At 45.0% G+C, this 19,569-nt stretch overlaps 1 protein-coding gene and 1 pseudogene across 10 annotated transcripts in view, besides 13 other annotated features; one reads left to right on the forward strand and one right to left on the reverse strand.

The window, feature by feature from the left end:
- YWHAZ (tyrosine 3-monooxygenase/tryptophan 5-monooxygenase activation protein zeta) overlaps positions 1 to 10,382 on the reverse strand; it is a 36,860-nt gene extending 26,478 nt beyond the window's left edge. Inside the window, exons 1-4 of one of the 10 annotated variants that reach the window (XM_005251061.4) lie at positions 10,269 to 10,382; positions 9,850 to 10,057; positions 8,929 to 9,125; positions 5,596 to 5,900 (exon numbers count right to left, since the gene is read on the reverse strand). In XM_005251061.4, coding sequence (XP_005251118.1) covers positions 5,596 to 5,889 — 294 coding nt within the window. In that variant the 5' untranslated portion in view covers positions 5,890 to 5,900; positions 8,929 to 9,125; positions 9,850 to 10,057; positions 10,269 to 10,382. Of the gene's footprint in view, positions 1 to 5,595; positions 5,901 to 7,405; positions 7,572 to 8,185; positions 8,313 to 8,455; positions 9,129 to 9,849; positions 10,058 to 10,268 lie in introns of those variants that run through there. The other 9 variants (XM_017013811.2, XM_017013810.3, NM_003406.4 and 6 more) reach the window with 9 other exon arrangements.
- Positions 7,225 to 7,284: an enhancer, noted in NCBI's record as "active region_27722". NCBI's record gives its function as "activates an Ori minimal core promoter by ATAC-STARR-seq in GM12878 lymphoblastoid cells {active_cell/tissue: GM12878}" and the evidence as "EXISTENCE:reporter gene assay evidence [ECO:0000049][PMID:35858748]".
- Positions 7,399 to 8,258: an enhancer, noted in NCBI's record as "H3K27ac hESC enhancer chr8:101962627-101963486 (GRCh37/hg19 assembly coordinates)". NCBI's record gives its function as "activates a minimal SCP1, AML or CMV promoter by ChIP-STARR-seq in primed H9 embryonic stem cells {active_cell/tissue: H9 hESC(primed)}" and the evidence as "EXISTENCE:reporter gene assay evidence [ECO:0000049][PMID:30033119]".
- Positions 7,399 to 8,924: a biological region, named in NCBI's record as "H3K27ac hESC enhancer GRCh37_chr8:101962627-101963486".
- Positions 7,545 to 7,764: a silencer, noted in NCBI's record as "silent region_19425". NCBI's record gives its function as "represses an Ori minimal core promoter by ATAC-STARR-seq in GM12878 lymphoblastoid cells {active_cell/tissue: GM12878}" and the evidence as "EXISTENCE:reporter gene assay evidence [ECO:0000049][PMID:35858748]".
- Positions 7,885 to 7,964: an enhancer, noted in NCBI's record as "active region_27723". NCBI's record gives its function as "activates an Ori minimal core promoter by ATAC-STARR-seq in GM12878 lymphoblastoid cells {active_cell/tissue: GM12878}" and the evidence as "EXISTENCE:reporter gene assay evidence [ECO:0000049][PMID:35858748]".
- Positions 8,155 to 8,924: a silencer, noted in NCBI's record as "silent region_19426". NCBI's record gives its function as "represses an Ori minimal core promoter by ATAC-STARR-seq in GM12878 lymphoblastoid cells {active_cell/tissue: GM12878}" and the evidence as "EXISTENCE:reporter gene assay evidence [ECO:0000049][PMID:35858748]".
- Positions 9,117 to 9,975: an enhancer, noted in NCBI's record as "OCT4-NANOG-H3K27ac hESC enhancer chr8:101964345-101965203 (GRCh37/hg19 assembly coordinates)". NCBI's record gives its function as "activates a minimal SCP1, AML or CMV promoter by ChIP-STARR-seq in naive H9 embryonic stem cells {active_cell/tissue: H9 hESC(naive)}" and the evidence as "EXISTENCE:reporter gene assay evidence [ECO:0000049][PMID:30033119]".
- Positions 9,117 to 10,114: a biological region, named in NCBI's record as "OCT4-NANOG-H3K27ac hESC enhancer GRCh37_chr8:101964345-101965203".
- Positions 9,155 to 9,414: a silencer, noted in NCBI's record as "silent region_19427". NCBI's record gives its function as "represses an Ori minimal core promoter by ATAC-STARR-seq in GM12878 lymphoblastoid cells {active_cell/tissue: GM12878}" and the evidence as "EXISTENCE:reporter gene assay evidence [ECO:0000049][PMID:35858748]".
- Positions 9,435 to 10,114: a silencer, noted in NCBI's record as "silent region_19428". NCBI's record gives its function as "represses an Ori minimal core promoter by ATAC-STARR-seq in GM12878 lymphoblastoid cells {active_cell/tissue: GM12878}" and the evidence as "EXISTENCE:reporter gene assay evidence [ECO:0000049][PMID:35858748]".
- Positions 10,255 to 10,364: an enhancer, noted in NCBI's record as "active region_27724". NCBI's record gives its function as "activates an Ori minimal core promoter by ATAC-STARR-seq in GM12878 lymphoblastoid cells {active_cell/tissue: GM12878}" and the evidence as "EXISTENCE:reporter gene assay evidence [ECO:0000049][PMID:35858748]".
- Positions 10,375 to 10,504: an enhancer, noted in NCBI's record as "active region_27725". NCBI's record gives its function as "activates an Ori minimal core promoter by ATAC-STARR-seq in GM12878 lymphoblastoid cells {active_cell/tissue: GM12878}" and the evidence as "EXISTENCE:reporter gene assay evidence [ECO:0000049][PMID:35858748]".
- Positions 13,825 to 14,326: an enhancer, noted in NCBI's record as "H3K27ac-H3K4me1 hESC enhancer chr8:101969053-101969554 (GRCh37/hg19 assembly coordinates)". NCBI's record gives its function as "activates a minimal SCP1, AML or CMV promoter by ChIP-STARR-seq in naive H9 embryonic stem cells {active_cell/tissue: H9 hESC(naive)}" and the evidence as "EXISTENCE:reporter gene assay evidence [ECO:0000049][PMID:30033119]".
- RN7SL685P (RNA, 7SL, cytoplasmic 685, pseudogene) lies at positions 14,883 to 15,180 on the forward strand (annotated as a pseudogene).

The raw sequence follows: 19,569 nt of genomic DNA on the forward strand, positions 1-19,569 counted from the left end.
CAATTCAGCGTGAATGTAAAGGATAGGGAACCAATGATATGGGAAACATCAACAGCTTGTAATCTGAAAATTAAGTCAAAGTTGAGTCCAACATGTCGTGTGATTAAGTCTAGAAAACATGCTAAAATTGGGTAGTTATAAAGAACAGGCAGTTTCAAAAGGAAAAGGAATGCTGGCTTTGAGTATATTGAAACTGACAGCAGTTCTAAGTCCCCTAAAACCTTGAGCGGTGTTTATTCTCTATGTGGAACTGTCAAGAGTAAAGCAAAAGCTATGGGAACTAGAATGAAATCACAATAGGGAACCAGGAATTCTACAAAAAATTCTAAGAAACTTATTAGAATTTCAATAAACTATATGCTAACTTTTAAAACTTACTTGATATCAGAACACCTGTCATTCTGACTTAAAAATTCTCACACACACATTCAATATAAATATGCCAAGAGTAACTTATTTTGGAATCAAAAATTTGAGAAATTAATCCAAAAGTCCAATGACATTTAATTCAGTATTATAAAGACAGAGCTAGTTTCCCTTCCCATCAAACAGCAAAGGCCTCTACACCTTTCCATTCCCTTTCCTTTATTTTCATCATTTCCACTTCATATACCTCAGACTTTTTGTATTTGTACAAAATATGTCATTGGGTGTGGCACTTTACATTAAAAAAAACTGAACTTTATTACCAAAGACACTGTCCAGGCCGGGCGCGGTGGCTCACGCCTGTAATCCCAGCACTTTGGGAGGCCGAGGCAGGTGGATCACGAGGTCAGGAGACCAAGACCATCTTGGCTAACACGGTGAAACCCCATCTCTACTAAAAATACAATACAATTAGCTGGGTGTGGTGGCGGGCACCTGTAGTCCCAGCTACTCGGGAGGCTGAGGCAGGAGAATGGCGTGAGCCCGGAAGGCAGAGCTTGCAGTGAGCCGAGATCGTTCCATTGCACTCCAGCCTAGGCGACAGAGCAAGACTCCGTCTCAAAAAAAAAAAGAAAAAAGAAAAAAAGAAAAAAAAGACACTGTCCAATTTTTTCCTTCCTGAGACCACAGAACTGGGATTATTTATACTTTGAAACATACCAAAACCATGAAGACATGTAAATATACAGTATATCTTAATAAAATGAAATAGTAACAATAGATATAACCCTACAGAGTTCTTTGGAGAAGCCCTTATTCCAATGAGCTGTCTAGTGATTTTCATCTTAAAAACTGCTAACTCTACATAGCAGTTTTTAAAGCCCAAGGCACGTAATAATATATTCAGACTAAAACGGACCCAAAGCCGCTTGCTTTCTTATTTCTGTTTAATGGTAGTTCTGTGGGCTGGAGATAAAAATCAGTGACCCATAACCACAACTTAAAATTGCCCTGAGCAAATAAAAACGTAGAGCAGCAATAAAATAGAACTCAGTCAAATTAACAGAATCACTATTAAGATTACTCAACTGCAGTTGCCAACTGTTATAAATGTTAGACACACAATTTTACACTGCTTCCTCTCGGAGACCTCCTATATAAAGTCATTCTCTGCCTACAGCAGTGGATTTTAAATTTTAAAATGAAACCTTTGAAAATTTGATGGTTGGCATGGACCTTCTGCCCCACAAAAATACACAATTTTAAAGGCTTCTTCAATCTTCGAAATTCCATTCATGGACTGTAAGTTAAGAGACCCCTGCACTATTATAGGCAGGCTCACACTTTTAAATAGAACTGAAAAGCTAAGATAAACAGGACACAGAAGGTAGTCAAGGTGCTTTACCTGACTCTCATTCCCCACAACCCTGTGGGATGAGTATTATTCCTATTTAATTGAGCTTAGTTTTCTCAGAGGGACTGAGTGATTTCCTCAGGCCATGCATCTATTAAATGGTAAAACTAGTTTGACTCAGTATCTTGAGCTCCATTATTCACCTCGACATACTTCTTTGAGTTTGAAAGAGGCTTCCTAGACTGTATTTCCTTGGTATTCATTTCATCATGTGCAAGATAAAAACTACCCAATTTTTGGCTGCCATCTTTCAGGTTTAAAGAGGTACTAGTGTTGAGTCCCTCCCCAACTACCAAGAGAGCTTTTGTCTAAGCATCTGGCAGGAAAGGCAGATTGCATTAGTTCACATATTGCAGTTTGAAATTAACACGTGGAAGAGAAGAAACCCAAGTTCTTTTACATAATGCAAAGTCCACATTGTGAAGAGCATGCCAGTGACCACTTCCCGCCATAATGCTCTATTTACTCTTGTAATATGCAACATGGTCCAAGCTCTTTGCTTATTAAATGGTTAAACAATAGATAAATACATATAACCAGAATGGGTTACTAAAGAGCTCTTCAGAAAAACTCAGAACTTTGGAGATTAGCTGCTTTTTGTAGGAAGAAAGTTTATTTTCATAGCTATTATAAAATAGGTGCTCAATATAAAAAATCTGGTTATCACTAATGCCACAAGCCAATACTATTATTTCTGCAAAGGGACACCTGCTTATTTTTCTCAAATTAAAAAATATATATATCAAAGCCCAGAAAAGGCTGGAGTAATAAAAAATTATAATTGATTTTTTATCATGTAAGATCTTAAAAATATAATTTAAAATATTTTTACTAATCATTAATAATGATTCAATAACTTTTTCTAGTAGAAATATCAGTTCTGCTACATTTTATTCTTCCATCTCACAGAAAGGGCAGAAGGAATTTTATGCAATATGTTTCCAGAGTCGATGTGACCTATTTGAAAAAGATGGTAGGAAAAAGAAGCCTATTATCGGTAAATATCAAATTTTCCCAAGCAGAAAAAGAAAAAGCTAGGGAAATTTTGCAGTGCTGCTGACCTAATTCTATGCTCTTTCTCTAAAGAAGCCTTTCTGCTTGTTTAACAAATATTTGAGCATCTATTACACGTTGAGTATGCAAAGATCACTAAGTCTTACTCCTGAAAAGACCAAGGCTGGAAGCAAAAGCTTGTTTAGAATTCTCTTCAAAGCCATTTGTATAGTAAAGAAATTAAACTCTCATTTATCCAAACTTTCAAAGTGTAAATACCATTAAAACTTTTTGGGAAGCCAGTGCTATTCTGGAGGGTAACGATGTGGGTAGGGACCAGAGTGAACTTCCTTAATAATCATAACAAGAAGAAACTATTTATATGAAGAGATTATCTTGTTATCCTCATCTACTGGTTCTATGCAAACAAAGTTTCTTCATAAGGAAACTAAAGGGAAGCATAGTCAAAACTGCTACAAGTTGGGCTGGACGTGGTGGCTCACTCCTGTAATCCCAGCACTTTGGGAGGCCAAGGCGAGTGGATCACCTGAGGTCAAGAGTTAGACGTGACCTGGTCACCAGCCTGGCCGACAAGGTGAAACCCCATCTTTACTAAAAGTACAAAAATTAGCTGGGCGTGCTGGTGCACGCCCAGTAATCCCAGCTACTCGGGAGGTCAAGGCAGAAGAATTGCTTGAACACGGGAGGCGGAAGTTGCAGTGAGCTGAGATGGTGCCATTGCACTCCAGCCTGGGTGACAAGAGCAAAACTCAGTCTCAAAACAAACAAACAAACAAACATACACAAAAAACAAACCTGCTACAAGTCTTTTCCTTGGAAAAGACTCACAATGACAGGAACTTTTATACTTTGTATATGGAAAACATGCACATACCTACCTGGTATTGCAAATAAGCGTGTTAGTAAAAGGTAAATGTTACATTCCTTTTTATTCCTAAAATTGACTTTTGTCTTAAGGGAAATGTTAATGTGTAACACACCCTTTGAAGCCAAAATAAAAACTTTTCGATCAGGTGTAATAATTGGGAAAAACACTCCAGACTGAACAAAACTGAATTACACATACACAGATATTAGTTAGTAAGGTGAGCAAAAAAAAAAAACAAAAAAAACAAAAAAACCCAATACATTTTTTATTATAGAAAAAAAAAATCACATTTTCAAAATTTAAATATTTGGCCGGGCGCGGTGGCTCAAGCCTGTAATCCCAGCACTTTGGGAGGCTGAGGAGGGCGGATCACGAGGTCAGGAGATCGAGACCATCCTGGCTAACATGGTGAAACCCCGTCTCTACTAAAAATACAAAAAAATTAGCCGGGCGCAGTGGCAGGCGCCTGTAGTCTCAGCTATTCGGGAGGCTGAGGCAGGAGAATGGCGTGAACCCGGGAGGCGGAGCTTGCAGTGAGCCGAGATCGCGCCACTGCACTCCAGCCTGGGCAACAGAGCAAGACTCCGTCTCAAAAAAAAAAAAAAACAAAAAACAAAATTTAAATATTCTTATTACCTTAGCAAAATCACAAAACAGACATTTGTCACTTGGCCCCAATAAAAGCAAGATATTCCTTTTTTCAACTTAGATACAAATAGTAGCTATCATTCTAAAGGTTTCAATAAGCAAAGAACAAAAAAATGCCCCAAGACAGATGCCTCATTGAGTTTGTGGCTGTGAACCCAAATAAGCATGTTTAAAAAATCACTATTCTTTAAAAAGACAGTGTCAAGTAAGTATCATTTGAGAAAATTACAGTTTAGGAACTGATGCTATTCCATTAGTAAATACAAATGTAAAGAAATGATAGTATCATCACAACTTTAACAAAAACCCCAAACCCACAACCACATCAGACATTATCCTATTGCTCATTATAGCACTTCTTCCATAAACAAGGTTCATATAGTAAGTAACAAACCTGGATTTCCATACTGAGTTCCAGATTCAGTAATCTGTCCAGAAAAATCGAGATGCTGCCCCTCTTTGTATATCAGAGCCCTTCCATACTGGTTAAGTGTAACCATTTAGTAAAACCACTTTAAATATTATTCCAAAAACTGCCAGCTTGGTTGGATTCTCTACTGGTTTATCCTCAAATTTAAACTATTCTTGATCAAAAAGCCCTACTTTATATGACAGATTAAAATTAACCAAAATGTAGTTTAATTCTTTTAAGCGCAGTGCTTCAACACAGTAAGTACTGAATACTTAAAATACTCGATTCAAACTGGAAAATCAAGCTTGAGTTGTTCATAACCTTTCATCATGGTTGTGAGTGTTCAAAATTTACCTTCAAGAATTCAATGCAGGAAGAGGTTTCATAGTTGTGACGCCAGAGTTTTCTGCATGGTTGACTCATTACATTAACATTATAGCGGCTAATCCTGAGAAGAGTACTATTTCTACAATGAGTATCCTATTACATCTCTCTTACCTAAAGTATGTAAAATTCCTTTATCCACAGATGTACATTTAAGATAACCAGCTATAGAGCTACTACAAATATTCTAACCATAAGTAAAACAGTAACACAATTAGTTTATATTTTCAATTAATATAAAATACAATACTAAAGTCTGTTATTTTTAACAAAACTGAACTGTTTCATAATCATTGTTGCAATTATTTTACATACACGTATCTATAATTGTCTTAACATCTTTTTAGTCATGACACCATGAAGACTTTTAAATTTGGAACACACAATGTTTAGAAGGAAAAGAAAAACCAAACAAAAAGTTAAGAGTAATGTAACTGATACTCATAGGGACCCTACAGTATAATGAAGCCAGACTGAATTGATTCTCACCAGTACATCATTGCAGATATCTCTTAGCTCCGTCTCAATTTTCTCTCTGTATTCTCGAGCCATCTGCTGTTTTTTCTCAGCACCTTCCGTCTTTTGTTCAATACTTGAGACGACCCTCCAAGATGACCTACGGGCTCCTACAACATTTTTATAAGCAACTGAGAGAAGATTCCTCTCCTCATTGGATAATTCAGCTCCTTGCTCAGTTACAGACTTCATGCAGGCTGCCATGTCATCATATCGCTCAGCCTGCTCGGCCAGTTTGGCCTTCTGAACCAGCTCATTTTTATCCATGACTGGATGTTCTGCAGGGGGGAAAAAAGGAGTATTTAAAATTTTTCCCATCAAAATAAACAGACTCAAAATTATACCTGTGGTAAATGAGTTTTTTAAACCTGAAACCTAACTGCCTGTGAAAGACTGTTCACATGAGGAATTAAAATGCAGCCTCACAAAAGGATAGTCAAAAAAGGGAAAAAAATTTAGCATACTCAGCATCAGAGGTAAACTTACAGCCATTAACACATCAGTGTAGCAAAACTTAAAATTTGTTCAGAAGACCCAAATTTCACATGTCAAAATTACTTCCAAAAGCTGCCTCAAAAACTACCCCTAATCTTACCTGATCAAAATCTCAACTCATTTCCAATACCACTAAGTGATCCAAAATTAAGCAGCTTTTCTTCCTTTAGTAAAAGCATTGTTTACAGAGAACATCTGGATTTCTATCATATTTCCAGAATCATAATTCATATCAGTTTAATGTAACTCACGTCTTTTTACTTTCATAATACTCTTGTCAAGAGTGATTACATTTTAGCTTTAGTGTTACCCCTACCCCAAACCTACTAGATCTCTGCAACAACTGCCAGCCAATAATAGCATAACAATTTGGGGGGGAATGACCAACTGTTTGTTTTCAGATATTTTGAGTATAAATCCACCACAAAGGATCAATATCTGACCCTAATGTCTCAACTCTTTATCTTGTTATATGTCCACATGCTTTAAAAATATCCGCAAGTCATGACACTTCAACTCTTACTGTGAGTACTAGAATATATCACATTGGAAGTACTTAATTTATAAGTGTTTCCAATGTCATCGCTCCAGTTGAAATGCAGAAGTGCTGCATTTTGCTTCTAGCCATCATAATGTAATTGGATGTTACCACTCAAGCTGTCCTTTACCATGACTACCCATCTAATTCTCTTTCCCTCGCATTTTAGTTTCCTGGACCTTTTCGATTTACCTCAGCTACATTTTTCTGGAAAGATACCCTTTTGCAAGTTGCCGAACAGCACAAAGATACTAATCCACACAGTGACACCACAGAATAAATGACTTCAGAGGAAAATACACACCCTGAATGAAGTGCACTTTTAAGTTAGAAGGTGAACAGAAGAGTCCACCTTGGCAGCTGGCTCCCGAATATTAATCATCTTTTACCTTCCCAGGGAAATCCCACAATATTTTTTTAACCAAATGAGAGAACAGGTCGCCACATTTTAAACAAATAATTAACCACTTTGGATGCAAGGTACTGGCTCAATACGTAAACTATTTAACCTTTATGACGGCATTATTTTCGTCAGGTCTCTAAATTACTGATTTTTCCCTTAGGATCTCAGAAACGCTCTCTGGTTATTTCTGCTTCTAACAAAAAATGATTTAAGCCAGTACAAAGGATTCTCTCCCCAATCACTTCGGTACAAGAGGAAGTGGATAAGGTTTCTCACACAGTAACGAGTGCTCCAAGGCCTCGCCTCTACACTGCGGGCAGGACTCACCGCACCCATTTAACCCTTACCTGACTTGAGACGTCGGTTACTGTGAAACGAAAACGGGCAGACCCGGACTTTAAAGTGCAAATTCTCCGGTCCGCGTATCGCAACCACCCCCCTCCAGGCTCCGCCCAAGTCGGAGCCACGGCTCAAGTCCCCGACTCTCCTCCTTTGTCATGGCGGATCTGTGTCAGGGAGCCCAACCTACTGCAGAGTGTTAATTCCTCCCCCCGACCGGAGCCAGAGGGAGGAGCAGCCCGCGCCCCCGCCCAAGCCGTGGGGGGGGGGGAGAGATGGGGAGCGAAGCCGCCCGACCCCGGGGCAGAGACGCCACAGCAGCCCGCAGAAGCGGAACCACTACCAGCCCCGCCGCGGACACACCCCGCTCTCCCACCCAGCGCCTTCCCCGCCACCGATCAGCGCCGGTGACCGTGTACAGCGTCTCTAAGGGACCGACAGCTGCAGGTGGGGGAGGGGACGAGAGCCACACCCAGCCGAGCGGGCCACCAGCGGCTATGCTCAGGCTCACCCGCCCCCAAAGCAGGATATGCGTCCCCAAACCGAGCGCAGGGACCCTCCAGTTCTAGTCCATCAAGCACGGGAGCCGACTGCGGGCTCACCACCCTGTTCTCTACCCCGACCTGGACTTGCAGCCCCCGTCCACACCTCCCCCGCCCGTTCACAAGGAGCAAAAAAAGTCAGACCCATCCCCCACCCCCACCAGGAAAATTCAAGTCCTTCCTCCCACCGCGGAGCCCAGGAAATTCAGCTCTAGGTCCCAGGCGAGCCCCACCCCAAAACCTCACCCCGCAGTGGACTCCCCTCCCGCCGGCGCGCAGCCTCGCCCCGGTCTACCTGGCGGGCGCCGCCGCGCCAGGCCTGGGCTCCGGCCCGCTCTCGGCCAGGCCTTTCCCTCGCGCTTGGGTCCCCGAGGCCCCCGGCCCCTCCCCGCCGCGCCACCGCCTCCCGGGGTGGGGGAGGGCCGGGTCCCGCCGCCGCAGCGCCCAGCGCGGAGGCTGCGCGAGGGGGAGGGAAAGGAGGGGGCGGCCGAGGGAGAGGGGAGGGGGCGGCCTCACCTGCGCCACTGCGATGCCCGCCGCCGCCGCCGCCGAGTCATTATCTCGGGCGGAAGCGAGAAGGGCGGCGAGGGAGGGGGTGGAAGCCCGCAGAGACAAGGGTGGGGATGGATCGCGGCCGGCGGCGCCCCGGCCATGCCTCGTCCACCTTCGGGAGCCGGCGACAGGGAGATCCCCAGGGATCTCGCGTGTGGGCGCCCTACCCACCCCCGGGGGCAGGACGGGGGAGCGAGCACCGATCGGCGCCGGGGCGTCGATGCGGAAGCAAGGAGCCGGAGGCGGCCGCTAGCCGCCCTCCCGAGCCCAGCGGAAGAGGAGCCGCCGCCCGTGTCCGCTGAGGAGACTCCGCCTCAGCCCGGCGCCGCCACCGCGGGGCGAGTGGGGATGAGGGGACGGAGCGAGGACGGCTCCCACGCGTTCGGAAGGCTGGCCTGGGACAGGAAGCGAGGCGCGGCGGCGGCCGGGTTCCTCACCTGTGTCCGGAGTGGGTGGTGGCGGCGGACGGACGGGCTCAGCAGTCTCTGGGCGGCGGCGGCGGCAGCAGCGGCGAGGCTGAGACTCTGTCCCTGGATCTCGCTGCTCACAGGCTACAGCCGCTCCGCAGACACGGGGTTTCCTCCAATCACCAGCCCCGGCAGCAGGGGCACCACACGCACGATGACGTCAAACGCTGCTATGGCAACCGTTGATTGGTGCCCACAGCGATCGGGGCCCCGCGTAACCGCCGCTCCCCGGCGCTCGTCCTGCCCGCCCGCGCTGGAGGGCGAGCGGAGGCGCGCGCGTCCTCGCCCGCAGCCGCCACTCCTCCCACCCCGCTCGGCTTCCAGCTCCTCTACGCTTGTCCCGAGTGCACCTAGGGCAGGAGGCTGCTTTTTTCCTTTTCCTCCCCAACGCAAATCCCCCACTCCTCGCCTTCCCTTTGGGTCCCCAACGCCCTCTCTCTCCCTCTCCCCTGCAGCCTCTGCCGGCCCACTCTTCCTCTCAGCCGGCGGGAAGGCGTTCTCTCCCTACCCCCACCTTAGCTTTCGCTCAGCCCGTCTGCGCTTGCCCCAGTCACTCCCTCTGGAAGGGGCTCCCGTTCAGCAACATCCGGGACCTTTCACATCCCCCCACCCCTCCCCGAGGCCCGGCCCGCCCCACCCTCCGTGCTTCGCGGTAGTAACTGCCCCAGGGCCGTCCCCGGGCAGGATGACAAGGGTGGCTCGGCGGCTCCGGCATTGTGATCAGGACTTGCGGGGCGGGGGCCCCGGGGCGGGGGCAGGGCGCGGTCGCACGGCAAGGGAGGGTTGTGTGTGGTGCGCTGCCCCCCGCCCCGCCCGCCGCTCCCCTTCCCCGGCTGGGCCGACCGGGGCGCGCGGCCCCTCCCGGCCTCCCTCCCGCCGCCGCGGCTTTACCTGCTGGCTCGGGGGAAGCGGTCCTAGACCTTTTATGGCTCGGAAACGGGAGTGAGGCGTCCAGCCCCTGAGTGTGGCTGAGTGATGGGGAGGCGTTCCAATCGAGAGCGCGGGATCTGCGCTCGGTGACTGCGCGAGGGGACAATGGGTGGGCGCCGAGGTGGGGGCGAGGTGGGCCGGGCCGGGCGGAGCCGGCAGGAGGTGAGGCCTGGAAGGAGGCGCGGCCGCTTTAGGGAAGCCAGAGTTCCGAGGGGAAAGGACAGCCTTCTCGGGCGGAGGGCTGGAGCTGGTCCTGGCAGCCTTGACCCGGAGACAGGCAGTCAGGCGTGACCGCACGGACCCGTTTCTCGTAGGCTAGGTTTTCCTACCCAAATAAAGCTTTCACGTGAAGACCTCATACTGCACATGACGATCATTACCTTTTTATCTCCTAGAAGCAAGGTTTGAGGGACGTCGTAGTCCCCAGGGTTCCAGCTGGCGGTGGGAGTGGGCCACAGGCCGGGTGATGAGCCGGGACGGGAGCCCGGAAGAAGGGGAAGGAGAAAGGCGGAAATTGCAGGTGCCTGAACCGGTAGGGCCTCCGCCCAGTTGACTTCAGGAAGTTCAGAGAGAAACATTCACAGTGTGAATGATCTCTGCCCCTTCCCTCTTTAAATGTGTTCGGGCTAAGAAAAGATTAGTGCTTGGATGACCTGCAAAACCACTTGCAACAGCCATGGAGAGTGTACGGTTAGCAATGAGAGAGCTTGGAACTCTTCATTTTACTCTTGTGTAAACTCCCCATTGATTCTTCCAACGTATCTTTATTGAGCTGACCAGAGCCTCCGTTTAGCCTCATGTTCTCTACAGAATTTAGTTTCTCAGTAGTAGACACGAAATGATTGAGTCCTCGCTCTTCCAGTACATTGTCTTTCCTACATAATACAGTGGACCACAAGGCTGCTCTACAAATTACTTTTTGCCTGACATGACAGCTGGCATTTAGATAGTACAGACCAGAAAGAGGGTTTCCAGTGACCAGTTATATTTTAGTGGGTTTTTTTGTTGTTGCTTTTCACAAGTTGCCAAATCACAGACTCATGGTAGGTTAAATGGATAAACAAATTGGAGTTTTATTTCTGAGATGTTAGGGTCAACTAGCTTTGACTCCCAAGTAAATTCTTTTAGGGCGTGACTCACTTAAAATGAGTAATATTTCAAAAGCTATTTTTTTTACAGTTTTTTCGTAGGCACCAGAAATTTGACAGAGGATACTAAGTTAAACGTTTTTTTAAAATGGAAATTGATGTTTCTTTAATGTCTCAAATATATGTCTATGTAGAGTATATGCCTTTTGTTTTAGAGGAAGTTAAGGGGTTTTTCTGTATAAATATGGATTTACTTCAGGAAACAGCTAAGTTAGGCTTTTGCCTCATGCTTTAATAGCAAGGCATTTTTTAGTGCAACAATAGGCACTGTTAGGTTTTACATACTCAAGTCAATGTGTCTGCACAATAAAGATATAATGAAGCTGCAAGAAAGGAACGGGATGTTATGAAAGCCCTGAGGAAAAGATCTTTTAAGAAATAAGGAATAACCTGTGGCATACAGAGCAGAATAAATAGAACCTATGAACCCTGGGAACTTTGCTGGAGACTTTCACTAATACCCTGACCTGTATTTTCTTCAATGCGCAACTCTTACCTCACTCAAGTTGGTTAACCTCTATGTGCTTTGATAGCCACGGCAATAAAATACTGGCAACAAAAACACTTAACTCATCAGGTGATGCTGAGGATTAAACGAATATACACATACATATATTTCTTAGAGTAACCTAGCTATTATTCATTTGTAAATGGATATATCTGATTGATATCTCTAGTGTTCAAAAGATTGTAAAGATAAAATGAAACTATTTTCTTTTTGATTTTTAGGAAACTTCAGTAGCAGAAAGAAACCATATTTTTAAAGTATCTTTTAGAAATAGAAATGCCTATTTGTGTTTCTTAGTGCTGAGACATGAGTGATGAGGGTGAATATTGATTCATTCCTCTATAGGGGACTGCAATGATCTCTTCAAAGCTATACATCAATATATAATGCTATACATTAAAATGAGAAAAAGCCCAGGCACAGTGGTTCACTCTCATTATCTCAGCACTTTGGGAGGCAGGCAGATAGCTTGAGTCCACGGGTTCAAGACCAGCCTGGGCAACATGGCAAGACCCCTTCTCTACAAAAAATACAAAAAGTAGCTGGACATGGTGGCATGTGCCTGCGGTCCCAGCTACTGGGGAGGCTGAGGTGGGAGGATCATTTGAGCCCGGAAGGTAGAGGCTGCAGTTAGCTGTGATTGTGTCACTACACTACAGCCTGGGCAACAAAGCGAGACCCTGTCTCAAAAATGAAACACTAAAATGGGAAAGAGTTTAAGTGAATTAGCACAAGTCCATCCCTCCAATTGGGAAAACATCTCCAAGGATGGACTCTGTTGATGATGTGGCAGTTATATGATATTTTAAGTGTAATCACAATTCTGTCAGGCTATAATTTCACTTCACTGTGTTTTATTTGGAGAAATCCAACATATTGCAGAAGGTTTTGCAGCAGAACAGGGACTAAATCTTGGTTTGTCATTCAGAACTGTGTGACCTTAGGTTTCTGAATTGGACATACCAATTTCTAATCCCATTATAATGGTTGTTGCAATGATTTCATGAGAAAGTAAGGAAAGGGCTACCTACATGTAGTACACCAGATCATGTATATCTGTTGTTGAAATAATCTGCAGTTAGTAGCAGAGACAAGCTAGCTATTCACCAAACCCATTTTTCTCCTCTTGCTGCCCCAGTTGGACTCCATTGCCCATTCTCCTTTGCAATTACATGTGGCCATGTTACTGAGTGCTGGCTAATGGGGTATGACCGCAGGCATGTGCTCCACTTGCAGGCCTGGCCCATAAAAATCTCCCTGTTTGAATGTTCATTCCATTCCTGTTTTTCCGGCTGAATGGAGAGGATTCCCAGGGCTTAGAGGCAGTGAGGTCATAAAATGAAGACAGCCTGGGTCCCTGGAAGCCTATGAAAGCCTGCCCCAATCATTTTGGAGTTTACTGAGGGATAACTTCTATTTTAGGCCGCCGCAATTGAGAGTTTATCTGTTAAAACAGCTAGCACTATAATGTCCGTGAAAGTAATTGGCAAATCTAAAAGATGGGAAAGATTTTTTTTTAAATGAAAGAAAAGGGGAGGAAAAATGAGAGTAAGGAAAGGGAAACTGATCTTTTGATAAAAGGCAGTTGAAAGAAATACAGGCCAAGTGCAGTGGCTCACGCTTGTAATCCCAGGTCTGTGGGAGGGTGAGGTGGATGGATCACTTGAGCCCAGGAGTTGGAGATCAGCCTGGGCAACATGGTGAAATCCCGTCAATACAAAAAATACACAAAATTAGCTGGGTGTATGTGCCTGTAAATCCAGCTACTTGGGGGGCTGAGGCAGGAGGATCGATCACTTGAGCCTCGGAGGTTGAGGCTGTGGTGAGCTGTGATTGCACCACTGCACTCCAGCCTGGGTGACAGACTGACACCATCTCAAAAAGAAAAAATAAAGAAAAACATAAGTATTCTCAACTATTCTGTTGACTTCTAGAATTGTGTCCAGCATGGGTGGGTTCTTGGTCTCACTGACTTAAAAGAATGAAGCCACGGACTCTCTCGGTGAGTGTTACAGTTCTTAAAGGCGGCACATTTGGAGTTGTTCATTCTGATGTTCGGAGTTTCCTCCTTTTGGTGGGTTCCTGGCCTCGCTAGCTTCAGGAGTGAAGCTGCAGACCTTCGCGGTGTTGCAGCTCATAAATGCAGCGTGGACCGAAGGAGTGAGCAATAGCAAGATTTATTGCAAAAACCAAAAGAGCAAAGCTTCCACAGCGCCAAAGAGGACCCAAGGGGATTTCCACTGTGGTCTTGGGCAGACCTGCTTTTATTCTCTTATCTGGCCCCACCCACATCCTGCTGATTGGTCCATTTTACAGAGAGCCGATTGGTCTGTTTTACAGAGAGCTGATTGGTCTGTTTTGACAATGTGCTGATTGGTGCGTTTGCAATCCCTGAGCTAGACACAAACGTTCTCCACCTCCCCACTAGATTAGCTAGATACAGAGTGTCCACTGGTGCATTCGCAAACCCTGAGCTAGACACAGGGTGCTGATTGGTGTGTATACAAACCTTGAGCTAGATACAGAGTGCCGATTGGTGTATTTACAATCCCTTAGCTAGACATAAAGATTCTCCAAGTCCCCACCAGACTCAGGAGCCCAGCTGGCTTCACCCAGTAGATCCTGCACGGATACACCTGCACTCCTCAGTCCTTGGGCGGTCGATGGGACTGGGCGCCGTGGAGCAGGGAGTGGTGCTCGGTGGGGCGGGGGAGGCTCAGGCATGGCGGGCTGCAGGTGCCAAGCCCTGCCCTGCTGGGAGGCAGCTAAGGCCCAGCAAGAAATCGAGCACAGCAGCTGCTGGCCCAGGTGCTAAGCCACTCACTGCTTGGGGCTTGCACGCCGGCCAGCTGCGCCAAGTGCGGGCCCACCGAGCCCACTCCCACCCGGAACTTGCGGTGGCCCACAAGTGCGCGTGCAGCCCCAGTTCCCGCCTGCGCCTCTCCCTCCACACCTCCCCTCAAGCTGAGGGAGCCGACTCCGGCCTCGGCCAGCCCAGGAAGGGGCTCCCACAGTGCAGCGGCGGGCTGAAGGGCTCCTCAAGCGCAGCCAGAGTGGGCGCCAAGGCCAGGGAGGCACTGAGAGGGAGCGAGGGCTGTGAGGGCTGCCAGCACACTGTCACCTCTCAGAATGACCTTAGAAAAGTAATATTTCCTCACTTAATTCTAAATACATTTAATAGTCTCACTACTTACTTTACTTTTTACTTTATTTGATACCATCTTCTACTATGTTAGCCTTGTTTTTCTTAAAAAAAAAAGTGTTTTAAACCCATACCTATTAACTCGATTCCTACATTGCAGACTCTAGCCCTGTGTTCTATGGTATTTTGGTGACAGACTGGGTTCTTTTGAATCCTGCTTTCAAAAAACAAGAAAGCCATGCTGTGGGAGGATCGCTTGAGCCCAGGAGTTCTGGGCTATTGTGTGCTATGCCAACTGGGTGTCTGCACTACGTTTAACATCAACATGACGACCTCCTGGGAGCGGAGGAACTCCAGGTTGCCTAAGGAGGAGTGAACTTGTGCAGGTCAGAAATGGGACAGATCCAAACTTCTGTGCTAATCCTTAGTGGGATCGCGCCTATGTATAGCCACACTGCACTCCAGCCTGGGCAACACAGTGAGACCCTGTCTCTCTCTCTTTTTTTTTTTTTTCCAGAACGGAGTCTTGCTGTGTTGCCCAGGCTGTAGTGCAGTGGCGCGATCCCAGCTCACTGCAACCTCCGCCTCCCGGGTTCACGCCATTCTCCTGCCTCAGCCTCCTGAGTAGCTGGGACTACAGGTGCCCGCCACCACGCCCGGCTAATTTTTTGTATTTTTAATAGAGACGGGGTTTCACCGTGTTAGCCAGGATGGTCTCAATCTCCTGACCTCGTGATCCGCCTGCCTCGGCCTCCCAAAGTGCTGGAATTACAGGAGTGAGGCACCGTGCCTGGCCAAGACCCTGTCTCTTTAGAAAAAAAAAAAAAAGAAAAGGAAAGAAGGAAAGCCATGCTGACTGTGAGGTCTCATTTCATACATGTTATGAAGCACTTAATGTGGACTCACTGGTCAGAGATCATGCTAGTCGCTGGTGATAAAGTTGGATAAGTCATGGACCTTCCCTAAAGGAGCTCACAGTCCAGGGGCAGGGACACACTAAATACAGTTACAGTGCAGCACAGTGAGGTAAGGGCTAATGGAGGTAAGCAAATTATGCTTTAAGAAATCTGAGCTATGAGTACCAACTATCCATGGAGAGTTTAAGGTTCCCTACAAAAACTCATTCATGTTACAAATTACTGATGTGGTTATCACCAGAGTCAATTTTGCTTTCTTCACTGCATGTTAAATTTTGCAGTTAAATTTTTAGTTTCCTTACATCCTTACCATATAGTTCACTCTTTGATAGATACCGCATGTCCTCACACCTTGTTAAGATCACAAACAGACATTTTCTAAAGTTTTCTTATTTTCCTGTAATCGTTTTCAGATACCCGCTTTTCCTTAGACTCTTCAGATGGTGTCCTATTTCCTTGTACTCCAGAATTTTTGGTAGCTGTTATGTTGTGGTGGTGATTGTTTTTCTGTTATATGTCAATGAGGGAGATTTCCAGTCTCCAAGTTGGCCAACCAACAGATAAAATTTCCTCTGCTTCTCTTTACTGTTCTCTTGAAAACCGATCTAAAGTTGTAGGGGGGTGCAAGTACATACTTTCTTGCCCAAATTCTGGAATCCAGCTGACATTTACATTTATCGCCTGTTGAGCGGATGCCATGACAAGATCTTCCCCTGACCCAATTGTCCAGTTGTCTGCAGTGAGGGGAATTTATGTTGTCAAGAATCAGAGGCTATCTATGGTTCTTTAATCAGCTGTGATTATAAATGGAAAAACTACACACTTGAACACTGTCAGCTGTCAGTGTGTTTCCGCATGCTCCCTTATCAGCAGCTCTTTATTCTAGGAGACTATCCATCACACTTTTTTCCTTTTCTTTCTTTCTGTTTTTGAGACAGTCTCACTCTATCATCCAGGCTGGAGTACAGCGGCACTATCACAGCTCACTGTAGTCTTGATCTCCTGGGCTCAAGTGATACTCCCGTCTCAGTCTCCTGAGTAGCTGGGACTACAGGCAAACATAACCATGCCTGGCTAATTTTTAATTGTTTTGTAGAGATGGAGGTCTTGCTATGTTACCCAGGCTGGTCTCAAACTCCTGGGCTCAAGTGATCCTCCCGCCTCAGCCTCTCAAAGTGGTGGGATTACAGGCATGAGCCACTGTGCCCAGCCCACCACAGTTTTTAACCAGCCACCTGCCAGGCCTTTGTATTTCTGTTGTGCCTTCTCTGGGATTTGTAAATTCTGATTGAATAATAATTTGAAGGATTAAATTCTTTCCTATCAACTTTGCTTTTCTTTTTCAGAGGATAAAGTATCCATGGTAGAGTTTCTGAGTTTGGCCTCCTCTACACTGTAGTCAGTGGAAATTCCACCCAGACTCTTGCAAATGGTTGACTCTTGTTTTTCAAAAACTCATGATATTTTAATGGGAAGATGGGAAAGGGAAAGGTTATAGCAAGAACCTTAGCTTGACACCGTTTTAACATCTTAACCCTTAAGTCTTCAGTCAATTATATTTTGTACTGTATTATATTTTTACATTTTGTAAGCAAAGGTAAATAATTTGATGTTAAGCATTAGGAATAGCTTTTGGAAGTTACTGTTGAGATCAGTGGTACAGAAATAAAGGTGCTGGTTTTTTTTGGGTTTTTTTTTTGTGACAGAGTCTTGCTCTGTTGCCCAGGCTGGAGTACAGTGGTGCGATCTTGGCTCACTGCAACCTCCACCTCCTGGGTTCAACCAATTCTCCTGCCTCCGCCTCCCAAGTAGCTGGGATGACAGGTGTGCGCCATGACACACAGCAAATTTTTGTATTTTTAGTAGAGATGGGGTTTCGGCATTTTGGCCAGGCTGGTCTCGAACCCCTGACCTCAGGTGATCCGCCCATCTCAGCCTCCCAAAGTGCTGGGATTACAGGCGTGAGCCACCGTGCCGGCGGTGCTGGTGTATATACTTACCAGAAATTCTGTTTCAATTCAGAAATCACTTCTGTAGAGGTACTCATACATTTTAAGAAAAATAAGAAAAGGTACAGGTATTACATGTCTGTTCAACCAGTGAAGCTTGCCACCACGTGACAACTCCTTGAGGCGGGTAGCGGCAGGGGGAGCTCACAGTTTCAAAAGTGTGCTTATTTACAATTCAAAAATGATCAGTTTACAATTCAAAAAGGCATCACCACATGAAAAGGTCAGAAGAATTTGTCCCTTTCTAGCCTGTATTTCAGTCCTGAACACTCAAGAATAAGCACAGTGAACACTGGAATTCATTAAAGGTTTAAAATACAGTAAGGATGCATATATATATCAGTAGAAAAAAATTTTTCCCCACCCTCCAACCCCCAGCAAAACAGGTATCTGGAAAAGGAATAAAGGCAATGTGAATTTCTGGCAGCTTTCCTGGGGCCTGATACACATTTTTTCCTGGACCTAAGAGCAGAATTTCTGTATTCTAGCTTCCTTGGTCCTTATTTGGGACAATTGCCTTCAACTTAAAACTATTTTTAGTTTGGTTTTTTGGGTTTTTTTTTTTTTTTTTTTTTTTAATCATATGGGGTCTTGCTATGTTACCCAGACTGGTCTGGAACTACTGGGCTCAAGTGATCCTCCTCTCTCGGCCTCCCATAGTGCTGGGATTACAGGCATGAGCCACCTTGCCTGGCCTAAAACTATTTTTTAGGAGGACTCACCACACTTTCTTAGCCATGAAATCCTCAGGAATCCCTGAAATATTTCAATATTCCAGTGACTGATAAGAAACACAATCCAAACTCACTCTATAAGAAATGAGATGGTTATTCTGGGTAAATCAGATCCATGTTTTTGACATGATTAATTTTCACACAGTTAATGCCTCACTTATTTGTTAAACATGGATTTTTCAGTCAGGCTAATACATTTGGTAGGCTTCAGGCTAGGACAATTAAAAACTGAGTAAAAACCATAGGACCATCCTAATTGATAACTAACAGAAGAACAGGATACATGTGCTGAACTTTCTCTAAATGAAGCACTATTTGTCAAAAGCTCTAAGCAATCTACAGGATGAGATCACCTTTCTTTTGTGACTTTCCTGTCACAGCAGTAGCACCTAGCAATAGCTTATGCATGCAAGCAGCATAAATAAGTGAAAATATATAAGGTAGGCAGCATCTGTAGATATGAGAGAGCAGGGATTGGAGACAGTATGAAGGTCAAGCTTTAGAAAGAACAGTTAACCCCGAGCTGCTGACAAAGAAGGTTTGATTGTTTTATTACAGTTATTTGAGAGTCAGAGGTCAGGGAGAAGTGGCTGTTGGACTTGACCTGAGAATAAAGGGAATACCAAATCCAGGGAAAGCACCTAATAATACCTACTGGAAAGAGACAGAATAGAGAGCACATTTCCTGATGAGGTCTTGGTTATGACATTCTACTGTTCTTTGCTGGAACATCTCATGGGCCTTTCTAGAAGAATCAATAAATAATATCAGAACCAGGGGATGCAAGAATGTCAGTAAAATGTTTGATGACACCTTGGAATATTATGTCTTTTAAAAAACAACACTATCATTGGATTTGGGTTCTGGAAAAACCATATGCATTCTTTCATTCACATGGTCGTTGAATAGATGTTTATTGAATAGCTGTTTAAATGCCAGAAATTACAGGTATTGAGTTTGAAAAGATGAAAGCAAAAAAAAAAAAAAGACACTTCTGGGCTACCTTAGAGTTACATTTGGGGTGAAGGGACAAGTATACAGTATCCATGGGGATTGGTTCAGGACTCCTCTGTGATACCAAAATCCATGGATGCTCAAGTCCCCTATGTAAAATGGTGTAGTATTTGTATATAATCTATGCATATGTTCCCATATACTTTAAATCATCTCCATATTATTGATAGTAATGAATACAATGTAAATACTATGTAAATAGTTGTTAT

Source organism: Homo sapiens, chromosome 8 (assembly GCF_000001405.40).
Source record: "Homo sapiens chromosome 8, GRCh38.p14 Primary Assembly".
Taxonomy (NCBI): domain Eukaryota; kingdom Metazoa; phylum Chordata; class Mammalia; order Primates; family Hominidae; genus Homo; species Homo sapiens.